Here is a 20,248-nt window from a genome sequence, read left to right as displayed (position 1 = left end):
TGAAAGCTTTATTTAGGTTTTTGAACAAAAGCTTATTCTTAAAATGTTTCTAGGATCACATTTTCAATGTAATAACATCTGTTTTGTTGGCATTAAAATAATAGAATTTTTCTTACACTGCCCTTTTATTACTCTTAGGCCTTACCTGTATGACCCTACTGGATATGAATGAGAAAGAATATATTGAAATTGAGAAAATAAGATTTACATTATGGTAATACCTTTTGGATATTTATTTTTGGTACTAAGTGAATCATACCACAGGGAAAATGACAAAGCTAAATATATTAAATAAATTATAATAATTATTGTATTACCTGTCATTTAAATGTGCTGAATTTTAAAATATGTTCTCTTTATTTGATTTTACAGATATCTTGATAGACATCTTGACATCTGTAAAATCTGGAATTATGTTGGTCAGAATTTTATATGAGCTAAAGTTATAGACTTGAATTTAATAAATGATAAAAGCCAGTGACCAGGATATTCTGTAAGTTGTGGGGAAAATATAAATATGGTAGCTAACCTCCAAGATGACTTCTAAGAATCCCTGCATCCTGATATTCACAGTGGATGTCACCTACTCCATCTACTGAATGGGGCTGATCTGTGTAATTAACAAGACCATGTGGAAATAACAGTATGTGAGTTTAGAGGCAAAGTCTTAAAAATCATGGCTTGATATTTCTTGTATTACTTGTGAGGAAAGCAGGCTACTCAAGCCAGATTGAGTAGGACATTCAAGGGTCCCCATGAAGAGAACCATGTGCCAAAAAACCAAGGGTCAAACAACTAGCACTAATTTTTCAGGCATGTGAGTGAGCCACCTGAAAGTAGATCCTCCAGCCCAGTCAATCCTTCACATCACGGTAACCTGGGCTGACAAGTTGACTGCAGCTTCATGAAAGATTCTGAGCCAAAACCACCCAGCTAAAATGGATTGTTGACCCAGAGAAACTGTGTAAAATAATACGTGTTTATCATTGTATGCTGTTAAGCTTTGGGGTAATTTGTTATATAGAAATAGATACCTAATGCAATGTTATCAGGGAAACTTTGTATTCCTCTTTACTTTTCCAATTAAATTGTCACTGCTTGCTGACACTATTAGAATCTGTGAAACCAAAAAAGTTGATACTCCCATAAGCAGATGAGGATTTGTACACAGGGAGTCTCTGCTCTTGTTCCAGGGCCAAAACACAGACAGAAAAAAATATGAAATGAAATCTATAAACAAAATAAATACCTATGAAAATATAAAATAAAACATATAAACAAACATTAAATAAAAACATGTTTCCTGTTACTGACCCAGTGATATTTGGGACGTATGTGTTGGTGTTCTGGCTTTTAAGCTGTAATTTCTAGTTGATCTCAAGAAACAATGTTACAAGTTGTGAAGGTTAATTTTATATGTTGACATGACTGAGCCATGGGGTACCCAGATATTTGGTTAAACATTATTTCTGGGTTGTTTGTGAGCATATTTCTGAATGAGATTAACATTTGAATTGGCAGGCTGAGTAAAGCAGGTAGCCCTCTCCAGTGTGAGTGGGCTGAGACAATCTATTGAGGGCCTGGATGGAATAAAAGGCTGAGTAAGAAAGAATTCTTTCTCTCTGCCTGACTGTATTTGAGCTGGAACATAGATCTCCTGCCTTCAGACTTGAACTCAGGCTTAGACTGGAACTTGTACCATCAGCATTCCTAGGTTCCTAGTTTGCTGACCGTGGGCCTTAGATTTAGCCTCCATAATCATGTAAGCCAATTCCTTACATCTCTTTATATAAAAAAGAGATTATTATATAATAGTATTATTATATCATAATTATTTGGTTAAACATGATATAAACCCTAACTATTATATAATAATAATTTCTTTCTTATATATTATATAATAATCTATTATAAAGAAATTATTTATTTATTATAATCTTTATTATATAATAATCTATATAATGAAGAGATGTAAGGACTTGGTTCACATGATTATGGAGGCTAAGTCTAAGACTTAGACTTATCTTTTTAATCTTAAAGCAACTCAATATTAACTTTTAGAAACTAAGTAATAAAGGACTAGCATAGGATTTTAATTTCCATTTATAGCAGGTTCCTTTGTGAGAGGCATTCTGACCTAAAATTATGTTTTGGGATACAACTTATTTTTATGTTGAGAATTAACTTTAATTTAAATGGATATCAGCTTTAGTTTTAGGAATCCTAGCTATTTAAGAACAAAATGCATATCCCTCCATTCTTAATGACTCCATTTCCTGATGGTGCTGTCACCCATATGGCAGTAGAGTATTACAAACCTATAACCAAGCAGTCTTCCCTTTGGCCTGCCACATTGCAGTCTGAGAAATGGCTCTACTAGTTAGGATGAGCTGGGTTATGCAGTAATCTCAAACAGTCCTCCTAGTCTCAGCATCTTAAAGAAAAACCAAAAACTTATATCTTATTCATGTTGCATGTCAATCACTGGTTGGCCACAGTGCTGTTCCATGTCACCTTCACCCCAGGATCTTGGCTAATGGAGAAACTTTTCGCTTGAAAATTGGCAATTGTTATGGAAGCAGGAGAGACAGAATGACAAAGCATGCATTGCTCTTAAAGCTTCAGCTTGAATACCTGTTCCTTCCCATGTTTCGTTGCCTAAAGCAAGTCACGTGCTGCCCGTGCATTTAACAGGGTAAGAATGTTTAATTCCCCACAGGAAGGGCAGTACATTTTTGTGAATAGTTATGCAATCTACCACAGCATCAAAACTGTTACACTTTTCATAAGCATTCTTGGGAGGAATACTTTAAAGCTGAGAGTCAGGCATTTTACTCACATAAAGTTATATCAAAACAATGATGGAAAAGAAACTCACGCTCTGAGAAATATGTCTGTACTCTATTGTAAAGCAATTTCCCTCAAGTATGGTTATGGGAGTAGTGTGATTCCTTACTGCATGTCTGGGTCTGCTTCTCTCAGTGACTCCTTTTTTGCCCTGGTGTCAGAGTTAACTTCTCAGCTTCTGTCCCTGAGCACTGCGGGGTAGCAGTGCCAATATATCTCTGCCTGTGAGGCCACTGGGTCTTGTTGGTCTCAGTTCCTTTGTCCTAACCTAGCCCTCACTATGAGCAATGAAGATAAATAACACTGGTTTAACATAAAAGAGTCAATTTTTCATGCAGTTTTCTTTCTGTAAGAATTCTGTTTTTATAAATGGGAGTAACCTTTTTTTTGTATGCGTTTTTGGTAAGAGCAGTGAAAGAGTGCTTGACATGTTACTTAGCTGTGGTTCTCTCAGGACTTGGTGAGTTTCTTAGCTTTTCATTTGGTGTGAAAGTCCTGTACTAGCTCTGAGCTATTCATGCTACATATGGGAAGCAATAGCATGGAAAATCCAAAGCATAATTTATATTTATTTATTTATTTATTTTGTATTGATCATTCTTGGGTGTTTCTTGCAGAGGGGGATTTGGCAGGGTCGTAGGACAATAGTGGAGGGAAGGTCAGCAGATAAACAAGTGAACAAAGGTCTCTGGTTTTCCTAGGCAGAGGACCCTGCGGCCTTCCGCAGTGTTTGTGTCCCTGGGTACTTGAGATTAGAGAGTGGTGATGAGTCTTAACGAGCATGCTGCCTTCAAGCATCTGTTTAACAAAGCACATCTTGCACCGCCCTTAATCCATTTAACCCTGAGTGGACACAGCACATGCCCCAGAGAGCACAGGGCTGGGGGCAAGGTCACAGATCAACAGCATCCCAAGGCAGAAGAACCCCTCCCAGTACAGAACAAAATGAAGTCTCCCATGTCTACTTCTTTCTACACAGACACAGCAACAATCTGATTTCTCTATCTTTTCCCCACCTTTCCCCCTTTTCTCTTCCACAAAACCGCCATCGTCATCATGGCCCGTTCTCAATGAGCTGTTGGGTACACCTCCCAGACGGGGTGGTGGCCGGGCAGAGGGGCTCCTCACTTCCCAGAGGGGGCGGCCGGGCAGAGGCGCCCCCCACCTCCCGGACGGGGCGGCGGCCAGGCGGAGGCACCCCCCACCTACCTCCCGGACGGGGCGGCTGGCCGGGCGGGGGCTGACCCCCCACCTCCCTCCCGGATGGGGTGGCTGCCGGGCGGAGACGCTCCTCACTTCCCAGACGGGGCGGCTGCCGGGTGGAGGGGCCCCTCACTTCTCAGCCCGGGCGCTGCCGGGCGGAGGGGCTCCTCACTTCTCAGACGGGGCAGCCGGGCAGAGACGCTCCTCACCTCCCAGACGGGGTCGCGGCAGGGCAGAGGCGCTCCCCACATCTCAGACGATGGGCGGCCGGGCAGAGGCGCTCCTCGCTTCCTAGATGGGATGGCGGCCGGGAAGAGGTGCTCCTCACTTCCCAGACTGGGCAGCCGGGCAGAGGGGCTCCTCATATCCCAGACGATGGGTGGCCAGGCGGAGACGCTCCTCACTTGCCAGATGGGGTGGCGGCCGGGCAGAGGCTGCAATCTCGGCACTTTGGGAGGCCAAGGCAGGCGGCTGGGAGGTGGAGGTTGTAGCGAGCCGAGATCATGCCACTGCACTCCAGCCTGGGCAACATTGAGCACTGAGTGAGGGAGACTCCGTCTGCAATCCCGGCACCTCGGGAGGCCGAGGCTGGCGGATCACTCGCAGTTAGGAGCTGGAGACCAGCCCGGGCAACACAGCAAAACCCCGTCTCTACCAAAAAAATACGAAAACCAGGCAGGCTGAAGCAGGAGAATCAGGCAGGGAGGTTGCAGTGAGCCGAGATGGCAGCAGTACAGTCCAGCTTCGGCTCGGCATCAGAGGGAGACCGTGGAAAGAGAGGGAGAGGGAGACCGTGGAGAGAGGGAGAGGGAGAGGGAGAAGGAGAATAGTTTATATTTAATCTTCTAAATGATTTTTATTTTTAGTGCATTTACTTTCTTAACAAAATTTGATGTTACTAGAGTTAAAATTAGTTTGTCTTGGCCGGGCGCGGTGGCTCACACCTGTAATCTCAGCACTTTGGGAAGCTGAGGTGGGCGGATCACGAGGTCAGGAGATGGAGACCATCCTGGCTAACACGGTGAAATCCCGTCTCTATTAAAAAATACAAAAAATTAGCCTGGCATGGTGGCGGGTGCCTGTAGTCCCAGCTACTCGGGAGGCTGAGGCAGGAGAACGGTGTGAACCCGGGAGGCAGAGCTTGCAGTGAGCTGAGATCACGCCACTGCACTCCAGCCTGGGTGACAAAGCGAGACTCCATCTCAAAAAAAAAAAAAAAAAAAATTAGTTTGTCTTCCCAGAGGAGGCTGTGTATTGTTGTAGGTGCAGGTCTGCTCTGTGACAAATTGTTGACTGAACAGTTTTTCCTCAGATTTCTCCTCTTGTCATTTCTGATTTTACACCAATTCAGATATGACCTATCTAGAGCTACCCACTATGACTGTCCACCTGCGTTTTTTCTTTCTGTCCCTAAGCAGCAGTGTCTGCTTTGGATTCTTCTGTGGCAACATATGCCCCATAAAAAGTTTTGTTTCAAACTCTTAGAATCCTGTTCTAAGACTTGCTGTTTGGTTAAACAAATTCATGTAAATATAGTAATAGTTTAGTACATTTTCCCTCCAATGTAATGCATTTACCTTTGAATGGAGGTTTTCTGGAGAAAGTGTCTTAATTTATGTCAGTTCAAAAGTGGAAAATTTGTTGGGCAATATCTTCTCTGTGTGGTTGTGATCATCACTTACAGGTTGGTTTGTTCATGTTCCCAATAGAATCCAATCCTTTCACTCATTCATTTTTCATTTGTTGAATGTCAAATATGTGTCAGGTAGTGGGGAAACAAAGAAATCAATAGCCTTTTGCCTACCAGTGGACCACAGCCAAGTGTGTGAACAGATACCTGAAGAAATACAGCAACTAGACAGACCTTATAATAGCCATATGAATTAAATGATATGGGAACACTGATATTTGCAGAAGTCCTGGAAGGATTTCTAAGGTAGGGTCATTGAGCTGAAGCTTGAGGGATGAATAAGACTTGTTCAAGTAGAAAAGAAAGAGGGCCAAGGAGGCAGTCTGATCAGGGGTGACACTGTGTCAGGTTGGGGAGGAGAGAAAGATGAGGCTTTTTCAGGGAATTGCTTGTGGGTCTCAGTCCCAGTCTGGCTTGATGTAAGATTGAGAGCTGGGAAATGAGGTTAGAAAGGATGGAAACAGAAAACAACTAAAGAATTTTGAATATGGTAATGATTCTGGTTTAGAAAGACCACCTTTGCAACTGTATAACATTTGCACACTAGAGAAAACTTGGCTTCAGATTAAGAAAAAAAAAACTAATAAAATCCTAAAGCACACCAAACATAGGCAATAATTAATGATCAATAAAATGGATTTAAGTTTGGATTAATAACTAACATTTATTTGATATTTACTATGAACAAATGTCATAACTTGCATTTTATAATTTAATTCTCACAAGAACCATGTGGGGTAGATAAAATTGTTATCTGTATTTTATAGTTGAGAAATACTATGCCCAGTGAACTTAAATAATTTGCTATATAAATCAGAAATGGATAGAGCCAACTATTTGAATTAAATTCTGATCGACTACAAATCCAATGTCCCTGCCACAATATTTTCAATTTTTTTGTTGTGAAATACACATAACATAAAATGTACTATATTAGTTAAGTGTATAGTTGAGAGGTATTGAATATATTCATAATGTTGTGTAACCATCACCACTGTCTGTCTCCTCTTGCATTCCCTTTTTCTCTCTCTGATTTCTGAATTCATAGTTAGGATACAGGTAGAGAAATGTATCTCCAGGCATATTTCCTTAAAGAAGGATTTTGCTGGTTCAACATTCTGTGCTGAGTCCTAGTTTAAAGATTGAACTGTGGGACGTAAATTGGGTGGGATAAATAATTTAAGAGGATGGAAAAGGACTGGTTGGGGGAGTAAGCCCAACTCTCATGATTATAATAGTGTCTGCTGAGAATTTATAATTAGAACAATAATGGTAATAGAGATGTCAGAAGAGTATAATATGTGGGCAGACCCATAAAATACATAGGCGTAGAGCGAGTAATGCCACAGATTTCACCAAGGAGTTTAAAAATTCTCCATAGTGTTTAATTAACACGTATTGCTCTTAATGAAGTAAGATAGTGATATGGTTTGGCTCTATGTCCCCACCCAAATCACATCTTGAATTGTAATCCCCAGATGTTGAGGGAGGAACCTGGTTGGAGGTGATTGTATCATGGGGGTGGTTTCCCCCATGCTGGTCTCATGATAGTGAGTTCTCAGGAGATCTGATGGTTTAAAAGTGATTGGCAGTTCGCCCTCCTCATTCTTTCTCTCTTGCTGCCATGTAAGAGGTGCCTTGTTTCCCTTCACCTTCTACAATGATTGTTAAGTTTCCTGAGGCCTTCCTGGCCATGTGGAACTGTGAGTCAATTAAGCCTCTTTTATTTGTAAATTACCCAGTCTCAGGTAGTTCTTTATAGCAGTGTGAAAATGGACTAATAAAGATAGCAAATAAAGAATGGAGAGGAAAAAGAATGTGATTTAAAAGGGGCTCAGAATGCCAGAGTATTGTAGGAAGATTTTGGTCATCCCCCAATATCCTCTTCCATGATGACCTGCTTACAAATTGCTAGTTTTCAAGCATGGGAATTTCATTAAATTTTCTATGGCCAATAAAATATTTTTATGCCTGCTCAAACACATTCTTGATAGTGATATTTATCTAACCTATTGAAATATTATTCTAATTTCAGAAAATCTTTCAGTTTTTCTTATCAAACTGTTATTGCTTAAGATAGCAAAATAATGAATATTTATCATTTATTTCCTGCATTTCTAACCATTTTTCAGGACATTGTGTAAAAATGTATTAATATTTCTTTCATTAATGCATCTTTGTGGTATATTTCAAAGGCAGCAAGGTCTAAGTTCCTGGAATATATCTCTAACTTTTAAGGCATACTTAAAAAAGATCTAATGTTTTAAAATTACTTTGTTTTATGAGTCCCCCAAAATACCAACAAAAATATTAACTCTGTGATAAATATGAATGTAAAAACAGATTTTATTTGCTGTGTAGTTTGCATGTTAAAAACAGACACGAGATGTTACAATATGTAACTTGTGTGCTCTTTATTATTCTTTAATTATGATCCTATTGATTCCCATTGGGGCACCAAGCTGAAGATGTTTACATATTGCTACTGAAGTTTTTCTCCTGTATAGGAATTTATTTCAAGGACCATTGCAAACGAAATTCCAGTTTAAATAATTTTTAGGTGTCAATTTTTCGGTAAGATCTGCTTTACTTCATGGTGAATGATGCAAGGTATAGCCTATTAGTTCTTTACTATTTAAGTAAAGTAAAACTTGATTTATAATATGATGAAACATGTATATAAGAATTTTATTTTGTTTAGCTCTGGTTTCATATAATCTTAATGTAACATGTAACTGTAATAATGTTCCATATAATTTATTTCCATATTCCAAAGACTATGGAAATAAAATCTTTACTTTGGAAAACTGAAAAACATAAAAAGGGCATCTTTCTTTAACAGATGAGAAGAACGTTTAAGTTATCCTCATTTACCTCAAAATGATATAATCGAACCACTTATCTTTTTTAGAAATCAACTCTAAGGAAAGAAGTAGGCAGGAAACCTGTTGAAAGAAAATGAAAGCATTATATTTCAGCAATTACTTAAATCCTGCAAGAAGATCATGTTTGATGGGTAAGTTTTCAGAATGAAAATCTCCATTGACTAAAGTGAAACTCAGTGGCAATTTTAAATGTCCTGTCTGCATGACATTGAGAGTAATGATAGAAAACTTTTGTAATTTCTTTTAGTGCAACCATTTAGCTCAAACTATGCCCTAAGACATATCCTTACCTCCACCAGGAATCATTTATCATGCCTTGTCTGGTAGAAATATAATTTTTACCTTAAAGGAGATATTGGCAATTCAATTAATTTCATCTGCTTTGGATAAAAGTCATCTGATGTTTTAAAAAAGGAATTTTTTAAAAAAAGACATTAAGAAACTTTTTAAGATGATGCCTATGTTCATTAACTTGATTATGCTCCTGGTGCCCTGGTTGTATTTAACTCTCCTTTGAGCAGGAAGACTATCTTGTCAATATGGTGGTCAGGCTCCATGTATATATACATACATCAAAACTTAGCAAAATTTCTTCCCTAAATATGTGCAGTTTCTTGCATGACAGTAATACCTCAATAAATGTGTTAAAAATAAAAATATCAGCATAACAATAACAAGCTTATATAGACATATACCTTTTAACACTACATCACTAATTGTTTACATAATTGAGAGACAATTCATGGGTCTTTCACATTTCTGCTCATTTTCTGAGCAGAGGCCCTGACTGCCTTTATTCCAGGCTATCTTATCAATGATGATTATATAGTGAAAAGCCTTGGAAGATTGAGATAATACCTCCTTCTTAAACAAAGGGCAGATTTATTTACTGTCTGGTATGAAAAATATAATGTCTCCTTTTGGAGCAAGCATGCTTTATTGTCCATTTTAAAAGATCCAGATTTCCTGGCCGGGCGCAGTGGCTCATGCCTGTAATCCCAGCACATTGAGAGGCTGAGGCCGGTGGATCATGAGGTCAGGAGATCAAGACCATCCTGGCTAACACGGTGAAAACCTGTCTCTACTAAAAATACAAAAAATTAGCCAGGCGTGGTGCAAGCACCTGTAGTCCCAGCTACTGGGGAGGCTGAGGCAGGAGAATCGCTTGAACCTGGGAGGCGGAGGTTGCAGTGAGCCGAGATTGTGCCACTACACTCCAGCATGGCAACTAAGTGAGACTCCATCTCAATAAATAAATAAATAAATATATATTTTTTAAAAAGATCTGGATTTCCTAAGCTTGGAGTTTCTCTCCTGTAATGCAAAATGCAACTCATAGCATGTGCCTTCTTGATGATGCCCTTAAGAACTGAGGTTTAGGAATGTGATGCAAATGCTCATACTGTAGATACTTCGATATCGGCAATAGCTTTGAGGAATAGACTGAACGTTGTCTCTGAGGCAGGAGTCTCACATTTCTCATCAGTCTCCATGAAACTATGGCTGCCTTTCTTGTTAGCTTTCATATATGGTAAAATTTCAGACCCTTCTAAGTCCTTGATAGTTTTGATGATGAGCATGGGATGCTGAAAGAGACATGAGTTTTTGGAAGAGGAAGAATGAGATCCTTATGGCTGATTTAAGGCAATGCCATGTGTTGATAGCAGACATTTGACCAAACTATATGGTCAACAGGACAATTAATAATCTTCTACTTTAATGGGTGTTAATGAGGATGAATTTGGGAGGGTGTTGCAGCCTGAGAACTCAGAAGTAAATTCAAAGGCAGCTGTCTGAATGGTGCCCTGATTGTATCTAATTCTCCTCTGGGCAGGAAGACTATCTTTTCAATCTGGTGGTCAGGCTCAGGTCCACCCTATGGTAACAAGTATTATTAAAATTTGCCCTGGGGAGACCAGAAGGTTCTTACTTCTGTGTGATAATATTTATAGAAAAACTACTACTGAGTGTCAAGGAGGAAAATTTGAAACCACATAGACAGAAACCAGGCAAATGGCTAGCACTTGCTTGATTTACTCAAGAGATGAGGGGTAGGTTATATAATGCTTGTTTAAAAAGAATGGCAACCAAAATGCCATCATATGACTTTGTGCCTCCTGCAGTCTATCATCTGAATCTTAGACCCGTTTAGAGATGAAAATAAAGTCTTCTGACTTTTCTTTCTTTTTTTAAAAAAATTATTCATGGTTGTTATAAGAGATTCTTGAGCTTCTTTGAGATTTTTTGGAGACAAACTCCTGTGGCAAATCATCGATGAGGGATTAACAAGTACTTGAGGTTTTCCTGATCCAAATTGGGTTTATGATGCTGATGAAGGTGATCCACTGAAGAATGAGAAACTAAACCAAATTCTTAGATCAATTTTATGGTTAGTGCTGCAGCCCTGGAACACTCCCCTATTTTTTATATTGAAACTTGAAAGAATTTAAGAGAATGTTATTTTGGTAGTGGTGCTTGCAGACGCTCCAGATTTAGGTGAATTCCTTAAAAAAGTTGTTGCTGTGTCAGGCTTGAGTTGGGCAAAGGGCATAACCCTTGCACCCCCAGTGAGAATGCGATGTGGTTGTGGGTGTTATGTTATATCCAGGGGTCTCTAATACTGAAATTGATGCTGCTAGCCATAAGAATCTTGCCAATTGATACAGAATTTTGGTCAGAATGAGAACATTAGAAGTTCATTTGGTTGAGTCATGAGCTATGAGCTGTGCTACCCCACTTTTTCCCTTTGCATCTTTTCATAAAGCCCCTATGTCACTTCTTGCCACCTCCTGCCTCCTCTGTAGCTTCATTATGGAGAAAGATGAATAGGGGTGAGGCTGAGGTCTCCCCATCCTTAAGAGGGATCAAAGGACATATTCACCTAGTTAAGTATGCTAGAGAACTTCAGGGAGAAAGACTCAAACTCGTATGACCTTATTGGATGCAGGCGTCCATGTCATTATTCTACCTGGTCTTGAGTCGGGAAGGAAGCCCAGGTTCAACTTATCTGACTGGGCAAAGTTTACAGTGGGGTAAGAGACACTAATGTAAGTTTGTAGTTGGTAGGGCCCTTTGGAACAATTCAATGTACTGCTTTTGTTGCTTCTATATTTGAATATATAGTAGAAATTGATGTGAATATGCTTGTACCTTCCATTCCATAAGTACCAAAGGGAATTCTGATCAAGAAGAGCTATCCGTAGGAAAGTAATAATACTTTTGGGATCCCACAAACTGGATGACCTCCTCAAGCTATAGTCTCAGTGACTAATGATTTTTCCATCTTGAGCCTCTGGCAAAGGGAGGCAGCTTCCACCTGAGGCACCCTTGGGGCTTTACTTTAGATGCATCACTTTCCTTATATTGGCACCATGCACACTCTTTTTGAAAGCACCTGTTGGCTTGCTACTGTGCTTTTATTGAAACTGAAGGCCTGAACCTTGGAGGGCTTTTGACTCTCTATCCTGATATTCCAATTTTGGGGTGAGTGAACTCAGGATCAACAACTATTAAGGTGAGAAGGGTTTCACAAGTCTCATTTGTCTAAAGGAAATGATATTTTCAGGACTGCAGTCAGTCCAGATAACATCTTGGCTTCATGTGAAAAAGTGGCAGCTATCCCTTTGTGGGATGGGCCCTCAGCTGTTCAGCCTGAGCACCAGCTGTAATAGAACTGAGAATGGACATAAATATTCTGCACAGTGGGCAGAACTCAAGGCTTTTCTCTTGCCTCTGGATGATACTCCCCTTGACTAACCTTATATATTTACCGACTGTAGGTTGTAACCAATGTCCTAGCTGCTGGTGTGGAAAAATTATGGCTGGCAAATTCAAGACACACCTCTTTGGGCCTGGGAAATTATGGAAACAAATTGTAGCTGCTGATGAAACTGTCTGGGTCACTCTCTAGGTGCCCATGATATGGGCTCATTCTCTGATATGAACAGCTGGAATTACACTATTGATCAAGTTTGCTCTGCCCAGATTGCTGTCAGTGCTTCCTGGTTCCATCCTTACCCTGGGCATGGCAACACATTCACCATCACAGATTGGGCACAAAGTAAAGGACTCTATGTTTCTGATGCAGAGGACATTTCTGCATAGAAGACTTGCAACTCCTGCCAAAAGTTAACCCATTTGTCCTCCAGAAATGGAAGACACATCACATGGGATTGGAGCCCTCACCCATTTCTGGCAGGCTGCCTACATCTTGGAGGTATATAATATTGCCTCCCTTCCATTAACACTTTTTCAGATTATGAAATTGCTTTTCCTGTCTGATTAGCTGACTCTGGCCCCACTATTGGGACCTTTGAAAGTATTTTGTGTTATATATTAATATGTGTTTTTCTAGACCATTTGAAGTCTGACAGTGATGTGCTTTTCATCACAAAAGCTACTCAGCAATAGGCTGATAGTCAAGGTATAGTGAACTCTGCTATTAAAGAATGAAAACAGTCAGAGACAATACATACATGAATGGCTGTGTTTTAATAAAACTTTTTAAAGAATTGACGGCCCGCAGGATTTGACCGCTATTGTTCAGATTAATCATCATAACTGATGGAGTGTTGTACTCATGTGAAAAATTTTCAGAGGCTAAGAAAATGTAACAATGAGAGGTGGTTATAGTTTCAAGACAATTCTCAAAAGGTCTCTTGTGCTTCTGCAAATAGAGGCTGATTTTTTTTCTGGACTATTTAAGGATATTTGTATAAAAATAGCCTTGAAAAATAGAGATAATATTTTTCTCTGGAGTAAAGGACATATTAGCTTACCGTCCAGTATAACGAAATTAGTATCCCTTCTACAGAAAGATCAGGTCGGCTCACTGTCTGTAATAAAATATTTCTACTCTCTAAGTTTAGGGTTCTTCTTTTGTAACATCCCATTGCATGTGCTAGCATCATTGGCCCTCTTTGCATTACTCTTGGGGACATGTTGCAAATGTTGATACTCTAGCTATTGCTATTGCCGTGAGAAATAATCTATTTTTTGTCTCTAATGAGCTAATTTGTTAGCTTGCAACTAGGGTAAAATCTGACACTTCATGGTTCTTGACATTTGTCATAAACAAACTTAAAAAAAGACTACATCCTAACATTTTATGTGTTTTTATTTATCTTTTTTTGATTGGCACTATAAGCTTTTTAAAAACTAGCTATTAAGGAAAATAATAATGTGTTCTGATCAGATCAGACTTCTCAAAGTAGTTGTGTTTTAATGAGGACAAGAGGTAGAAATGGAATATTTGAAATGTGATTGTATAGAAAGAACACAGGACTAGAAGGCAACTGGCTTGGGGTTGAAACTGAGTTCTGTTACAAACTGGGTGTGTGATCTTGAAGAGTTCAGACCAATGGACTAAGCTTCAGGGATCTCATCTTTAAAACAAGAGGGTTAGGAGAGATTATTTCTGTGGCCCTTTCTATCGTGAGATTGAATTATTCTTTGTGAAAAAGTTTTTTTCCTGGGGAAGTTTTTCTTACAACATAGGTTTGAGAAGTCAGAATCTTTACATATTAAAAGAGATTGCTTTTGTCCATATCATCTCCTGCATCTCTTTCTTTCCTCCCCAAATATGTGTCAACCAAGAAGTTTTTCTGTCAATATGCAAAATATGGAAAGTATAAGCTCTTTCTTTTCTTTATGTTTTTTGTGTCATAAATTAGGCTTTGTGAAAGTGCTCAGTTACCATGGTGATACCCACTAAATAAATGTAAAGGAAAAGAATTCTCCATTTTAAATATAAATTGTGCATTCATAACACATCACATATGCACTATATAATAATTGGCTTCTTCAGCATCAGAAGTACCTGACAATAACGCCAAATTTATCATAGTATCTTTCTTAAAGAGAACAAGAACTAATGATAAGGAATAGTTTGAGATATGTGGTGGAATATGTACAGATTTTAAAAAAGATGTCTGTGAATTTAAGCAATCTGAACTATATAGTGGTCAGAAAATGTATGGTGTATACTATCTAAAAGGTCTTATTTCAAGTCCTGTATTTCTTGCCCAAAACATATCTAAAAATATTTGCTTTAGTTATTCCTTTAGATAGTATGACTTATGAGAAGAGATTCAATTTCCCCTTTGAAAAGACAAGTGAATAGAAATCAAAATAGTTCAAAAAGTATATATGAATTTAGGATGTTGTTCAATATTTTCTATAAAATGTGTTGAATCTGGTATAGCTTAAAATAGCATTAGAAGTAACCAATTACAGACCTCATAATAGCCTAAATTATTTTCTATTTCATTGTATGGGAATGAATTACGTGACTTAGTAAGCTATTAGAGGACTAGTAATGGTGTCCTGAACTGGTTTTTACATTTCAGTAAACAAGAGAAAAAATTAGTTTCACTTAAGCTATAATATTGGTAGAATACAAAGAATATTATTTAGAAGTAAGAATATCTAAAGTTTGTTCAAATAAAATTAGCTATAACCAGGCACTGTATAACAATATTTCAGTCAATGATGGACTGTGTATATGATGGTAGTCCTATAAAATTATAATGGAACTGAAAAATTCCTATTGCCTAGTGACACAGTAGCTGTAGTGACATCATAGTGCAAGACATTACTCACATGTTTGTGGTGATGCTGGTGTAAACAAACCTACTGTGCTGCCAGGCATACAAGAGTATAGCATATACAATTATCGTATAGGACATAATACTTGATAATGACCATAAAATACTATTAATAAGTTACTGGTATATGTGCTATACCATACTTTTAATTGTTAGTTTACAGCATGCTCTTTTATCTATATCTATATCTATATATAGACATATAGATATAGAGATATAGATATATAGATAATATGCTGTAAAACAGCTTCAGGCAGGTCCTGCAGGAGGTATTCCAGAAGAAGGCATAGGAGATGACAGCTTTACGTATGTTATTGTACCTGATGAGTTTCCAGTGGAATAAGATGTGGAGTTGGAAGAGAGTGATACTGATGATCACGACCCTGTGTAGGTCTAGGCTAATGTGGGTGTTTGTGTTTTAGCTTTTTTTTGAGTCGGGGTCTTGCTCTGTCACCCAGGCTGGAGTGCAGTGGCATGATCATTGCTGACTGCACGTCAAACTCCTATGCTCAAGTGATTTTCTTGCCTCAGCCTCCTGAGCAGCTGGGACTATAGAAATGTGCCACTATGCCCAGTGAATTTTTAATTTAATTTAATTTTTTAGTAGGGATGGGGTCTTGCTATGTTGACCAAGCTGGTTTTGAATTCTTGCCTCAAATGATCTACACTCCTCAGCCTCCCACAGTGCTGGGATTACAGGCATGAGCTACTGCACCTAGCCTGGGTTTTAGTTTTTAACAATAAAGTTTAAAAAGTAAAAAAAAAATTAAATAGAAAAAAAACTCATGGAATAAGGATATGAAGAAAGAAAATATTTTTTGTACATTTTTAGGATGTGTTTGTGTTTAAGCTAAGTGTTATTACAAAAGAGTCAAAAAGTTAAAAAAAAATTAAAAAGTTTATAAAGCGAAATAGTTACAGCAAGCTAAGGTTAGTTTATTATTGAGAAAAGAATTTTTTAAAAATAAATTCAGTGTAGAGTATGTGTACAGTGTTTGTAGTCTACAGTTGCATACAGTAGTATCCTAGGCCGTCACATTCACTCACCACTTACTCACTCACTGACTCACATAAAGCAGCTTCCAGTGGTGCAAGCCCCATTCATGGTAAGTGCCCTAAACAGGTGTAACTTTTAAAAAATTTCCTATATTGTATTTTTACTGTATGCTTTCTATGTTTAGATATGCAAATACTTAACATTGTGTTATGCTTGCCTACAGCACTCAGTACGGTAACATGCTGCACAGCTTTGTAGTCTAGGAGCAATAAGCTATATCATATAGCCTAAAGGTGCAGTAGTAGACCATTTAGGTTTGTGTGAGTACACTCTGTGATGCCCACACAATGATGAAGTTGCCTAATGACACATTTCTCAGAATATATCCCTGTTGCTAAACAATGCATGACTGTATTTAAGGGTCTTAATTCAATAGTGGTAGTATAATTTTTTAAGCTGACTAAAAATGTGGCAAAAGATTTATTTAAACTTTCACTGTGGTTTAGTCAGTATTTAAGGTAGGATGGGAAACTTCTCTACTCCTAATGCTTCCTCCCATGTAAAGAGAGTTCCGTTAGGTTAATATTCCTGTGCTCTCCCCACTCCCTTACTCCACTTCCATAAAGGGAAACAAGTAGCAATTTGGTGAATTTGGAAGGACAAACTGAACATTTGAAGATTAAACCCTCTTTCTCTCCCCATTCTCTTTGGGAGCTAGCTGCCCACAGAAAGGAGGCACACATTCAGGCCTATGCCTCTGTATTGTTTTATAGTTGTAGTCTCCAGTGTTAGAAAGTCTGATGAATTCAGTACTATCAATGACTAAGCCTGTCTAATTCTGTGGTTCAGGTTTTAAAGAGCCTGAAAGCTTTCAGAGTTAAATCATATTCAGGAATATCAGCTTTGTAATAATAATAATACAAGTAATACATTTATCTTCAGAGTTTGTATCTTACTACAGCAGAGCTTAGCCTAACATTTCTAATACAATAAAACATTTGCTTGAATTATCTTTCTTAAATCCCAGTAGTTAAAATAGCCCTACTTAATGGCACTTACCATAATTCATCTGTGCAAGTCTACTCTTTTGTTTTATTTTTTTCTTTTAATTTTTGATTCATGTTTCCAATACCTTCTTCCCTGTAGGCACTCATTCTGATGTGTTTTTTGTATGCCGTTGAATATGTATGTACCCTTACAAAATATGATTTATTGTGTTGTGCATATTTTTAAATTTACTTAAATGTTACATGTGAAGAGCTATGTACCTTTTCCCAATTTTTATACTTTTTATTCAAAATAATGTTCCTATGTATATATGTTTAGAGAATTGCTTCCTCGCAGAAAATTTGAGCTTTTGATAGACTTGCTGAGGGAGGGCAGGGAAATGTCTGAGAATAGATATGTGAGAAAGCAGCAAATGCTGTGTGGTGTCTCATGTGAGTGTGCATCTCTGTAAGAGGGTGTATTGTTTTGTTTATTATGTGTGCTTCATGTGGTGATTATAAAACAGTTAACCTGCAGGTGAGCTGGTTAGGTGAGTCTAAACTCAGTTCCAGATTCAGGTATTTTCTTTTTTGGAATTTCTGTTTGGTAAATTGGAATGGGAAAAGGTGGTGGTGGGGGATAGAAACACAGTGAGAGACAGGAAATAAATACAGTAGATAGGTTGTTGGAGCATTGGGAAAAAGCCAGGAACTGCACTTGAAAAACATTATTTTTTTCCCACTTAAAACTAGTGGTTGACACATGAAGGGAACTGCATACAATGTACATACATTCCAAAGTACCCATGGAATATGGACTTTCGGCTGTTAGACCAGAACTGGGAATAAAATCCCAGAACCTTGAAAGATAATGTTTATATTTAAAAAATTGCCTTGTTTATCACATACGTACTATGTTCTATGTATTTCACGTATATTATCACGTTTAATCCTTATAAGAATTCTATGAGGAGGGCACAATTCTTATTCTCGTAGCTAAAGAAGTTGAAGACACAACATTATTAAGAGTCAAATTTCAGATTTAAAAATCAATCTGTTTTTGCCTAAAGTCTGTGTTCTTTCCAGTAGGTCATGGTGCCTGTCTATTTCAAGGAGAGAACTTTCAAGGATTTCTCTTTGCATTTAGTTTATTAGATTGCTACTGGTGTGCAATTCAGAAGAGAAGAAGGCTTGGAGACAGAACAGTGAAAAATGGAGAGTTGGATCAACACCAAGTTGGAGACAGGAACTTTGTAACACCTGACACAGAGTGGAAATTCAATAACAGTTGAATGAAGGTTAAATGAACCACATCTGTATGCAATTTGTAATTTGGTGTGTTATTTATAGGGACTACCTACTGTTTAAACAAAGGCAGTTCTTTCCATTCTATGCCTTTGGTTTTTCCCAGTTAATAGTTTTGTTGACCAGTTTAAGTACCAAGGTAAACAGACAATCAGACAATCATCTTAGGCATTATTAAAGAATAATACCTGAGCCAGGTGTATGCAGCCAATAATTGTAGCCAGCAAGCATGGCTTCAGCTAAATATCTAGATAAGCAACCACTCTTGAAAAAAAGAACCCAAATGGCTTATTTATTCCTTTTGATGGTCAGGCTTTCTAGTTTCTATGTGAACAGATACTGTAGTGTTTCCAAAACATTTTAAAACCGCATTTTTTTTCATTTGTTTCTTGTCTATTTCTCCTTCCCATCTTCCTCTCTTAGTAATCTGATCACCGTTCCCTTAAATAAAAACCTCTCCCTGGCTGGGCGTGGTGGCTCATGCCTGTAATCCCAGCACTTTGGGAGGCTGAGCTGGGCAGATCACTTGAGGTCAGGAGTTCAAGACCAGCCTGGCCAACATGGTGAAACCCCATCTCTATGAAAAATACAAAAATTAGCCAGGCGTGGTGTCGGGCGCTTGTAATCCATGCTACTCAGGAGGCTGAGGCAGGAGAATCACTTAAACCTAGGTGGTGGAAGTTGCAGTGAGCCGAGATGGCAGCACTGCACTCCAGCCTGGGCGACAGAGCGAGACTCTGTCTCAAACAAACAAACACCTCTCCCTTATTATTTCAGTAATTAGTAGCAAGTTAATGATAAATTTTACTAAATGCATTAATCAGACTCTATGAAGGGGATTTAAAAAATATTCCCATTCTACAAAAGGAGTATAATCATGCAGTGCAACCATTAGATATGTAAATAGAGTATTTAATCAAATTAAATGTTGAATACTAATACAAGCATGCAAATCTGATACCAGAAGAGGAGAGATAATTTAGGTTAGGATATTCTGGATTTTGCCCTTAAGGTAAAAACGTAGTGGTTTTTCTTATTATAAATCTTTTTTTCCCCTCTGGAAGGGAAAGCAGACCACTTTTATATATCAAGAGAAGCAAAGATCTTGTCTGAAAGTGAATTGTTTGTCCTGCTCTTTCCAAATGGAATAGGGAGCCTAGTGAGGCTAACTGAAATATTAAGGTTTATGTGAGTCAGAATAATGGCTCAAATTAGCCAAAACCGAAGGCTCTATATCTATGTGTTGCCAACATTTATACATTCCAGTGCCAAATATTAGAATTTAACTTTCAATTAGTTATGAAATACAGGTTTTGTGTAAGAGATAATTAAGATCCTGTATAATTTAAAAATACTATTTTGGGTCATGTTTTATATCAAACGTAAGCATATGGTATAGTTAATCTTTATTCATTTTCTTTTTCTACTTAGATAGAGAGAATGATTTCTGTATAACTAATTGGGAAGAGAGGAAGTTATGGATAAAAAAGCAAAAGTTGTTGCACCAAGAGTGGAGGAACTAAATATATTGTTTAACCTTCTCTCATTTTCTTTTTGTTCTACTGGTTTTTGATATCTGCATGAAGAGGAAGAGGGTATATGGTTAAAAATTCACTCTGATGGTAGTTTCTTTTGCTGTGCAGAAGCTCTTTATTTTAATTAGATCCCATTTGTCAATTTTGTCTTTTGTTGCCATTGCTTTTGGTGTTTTGGACATGAAGTCCTTGCCC

At 38.1% G+C, this 20,248-nt stretch overlaps 1 long non-coding RNA gene across 1 annotated transcript; it reads left to right on the top strand.

The window, feature by feature from the left end:
- Nucleotides 1–9,930: 9,930 nt before the first annotated feature.
- Nucleotides 9,931–18,846, top strand: LOC105370472 (uncharacterized). The gene is made up of 3 exons (XR_943809.2): nucleotides 9,931–15,617; nucleotides 16,310–16,336; nucleotides 18,361–18,846. It is a non-coding gene; the product is annotated as an uncharacterized LOC105370472 (long non-coding RNA).
- The last annotated feature ends 1,402 nt before the right edge of the window (nucleotides 18,847–20,248 follow it).

The sequence above is a fragment of the Homo sapiens genome, chromosome 14, assembly GCF_000001405.40.
Source record: "Homo sapiens chromosome 14, GRCh38.p14 Primary Assembly".
Classification (NCBI taxonomy): Eukaryota; Metazoa; Chordata; class Mammalia; order Primates; family Hominidae; genus Homo; species Homo sapiens.
Note: the sequence above shows the minus strand (reverse complement) of the source record. Positions and strands in the feature narration are given on the sequence as shown.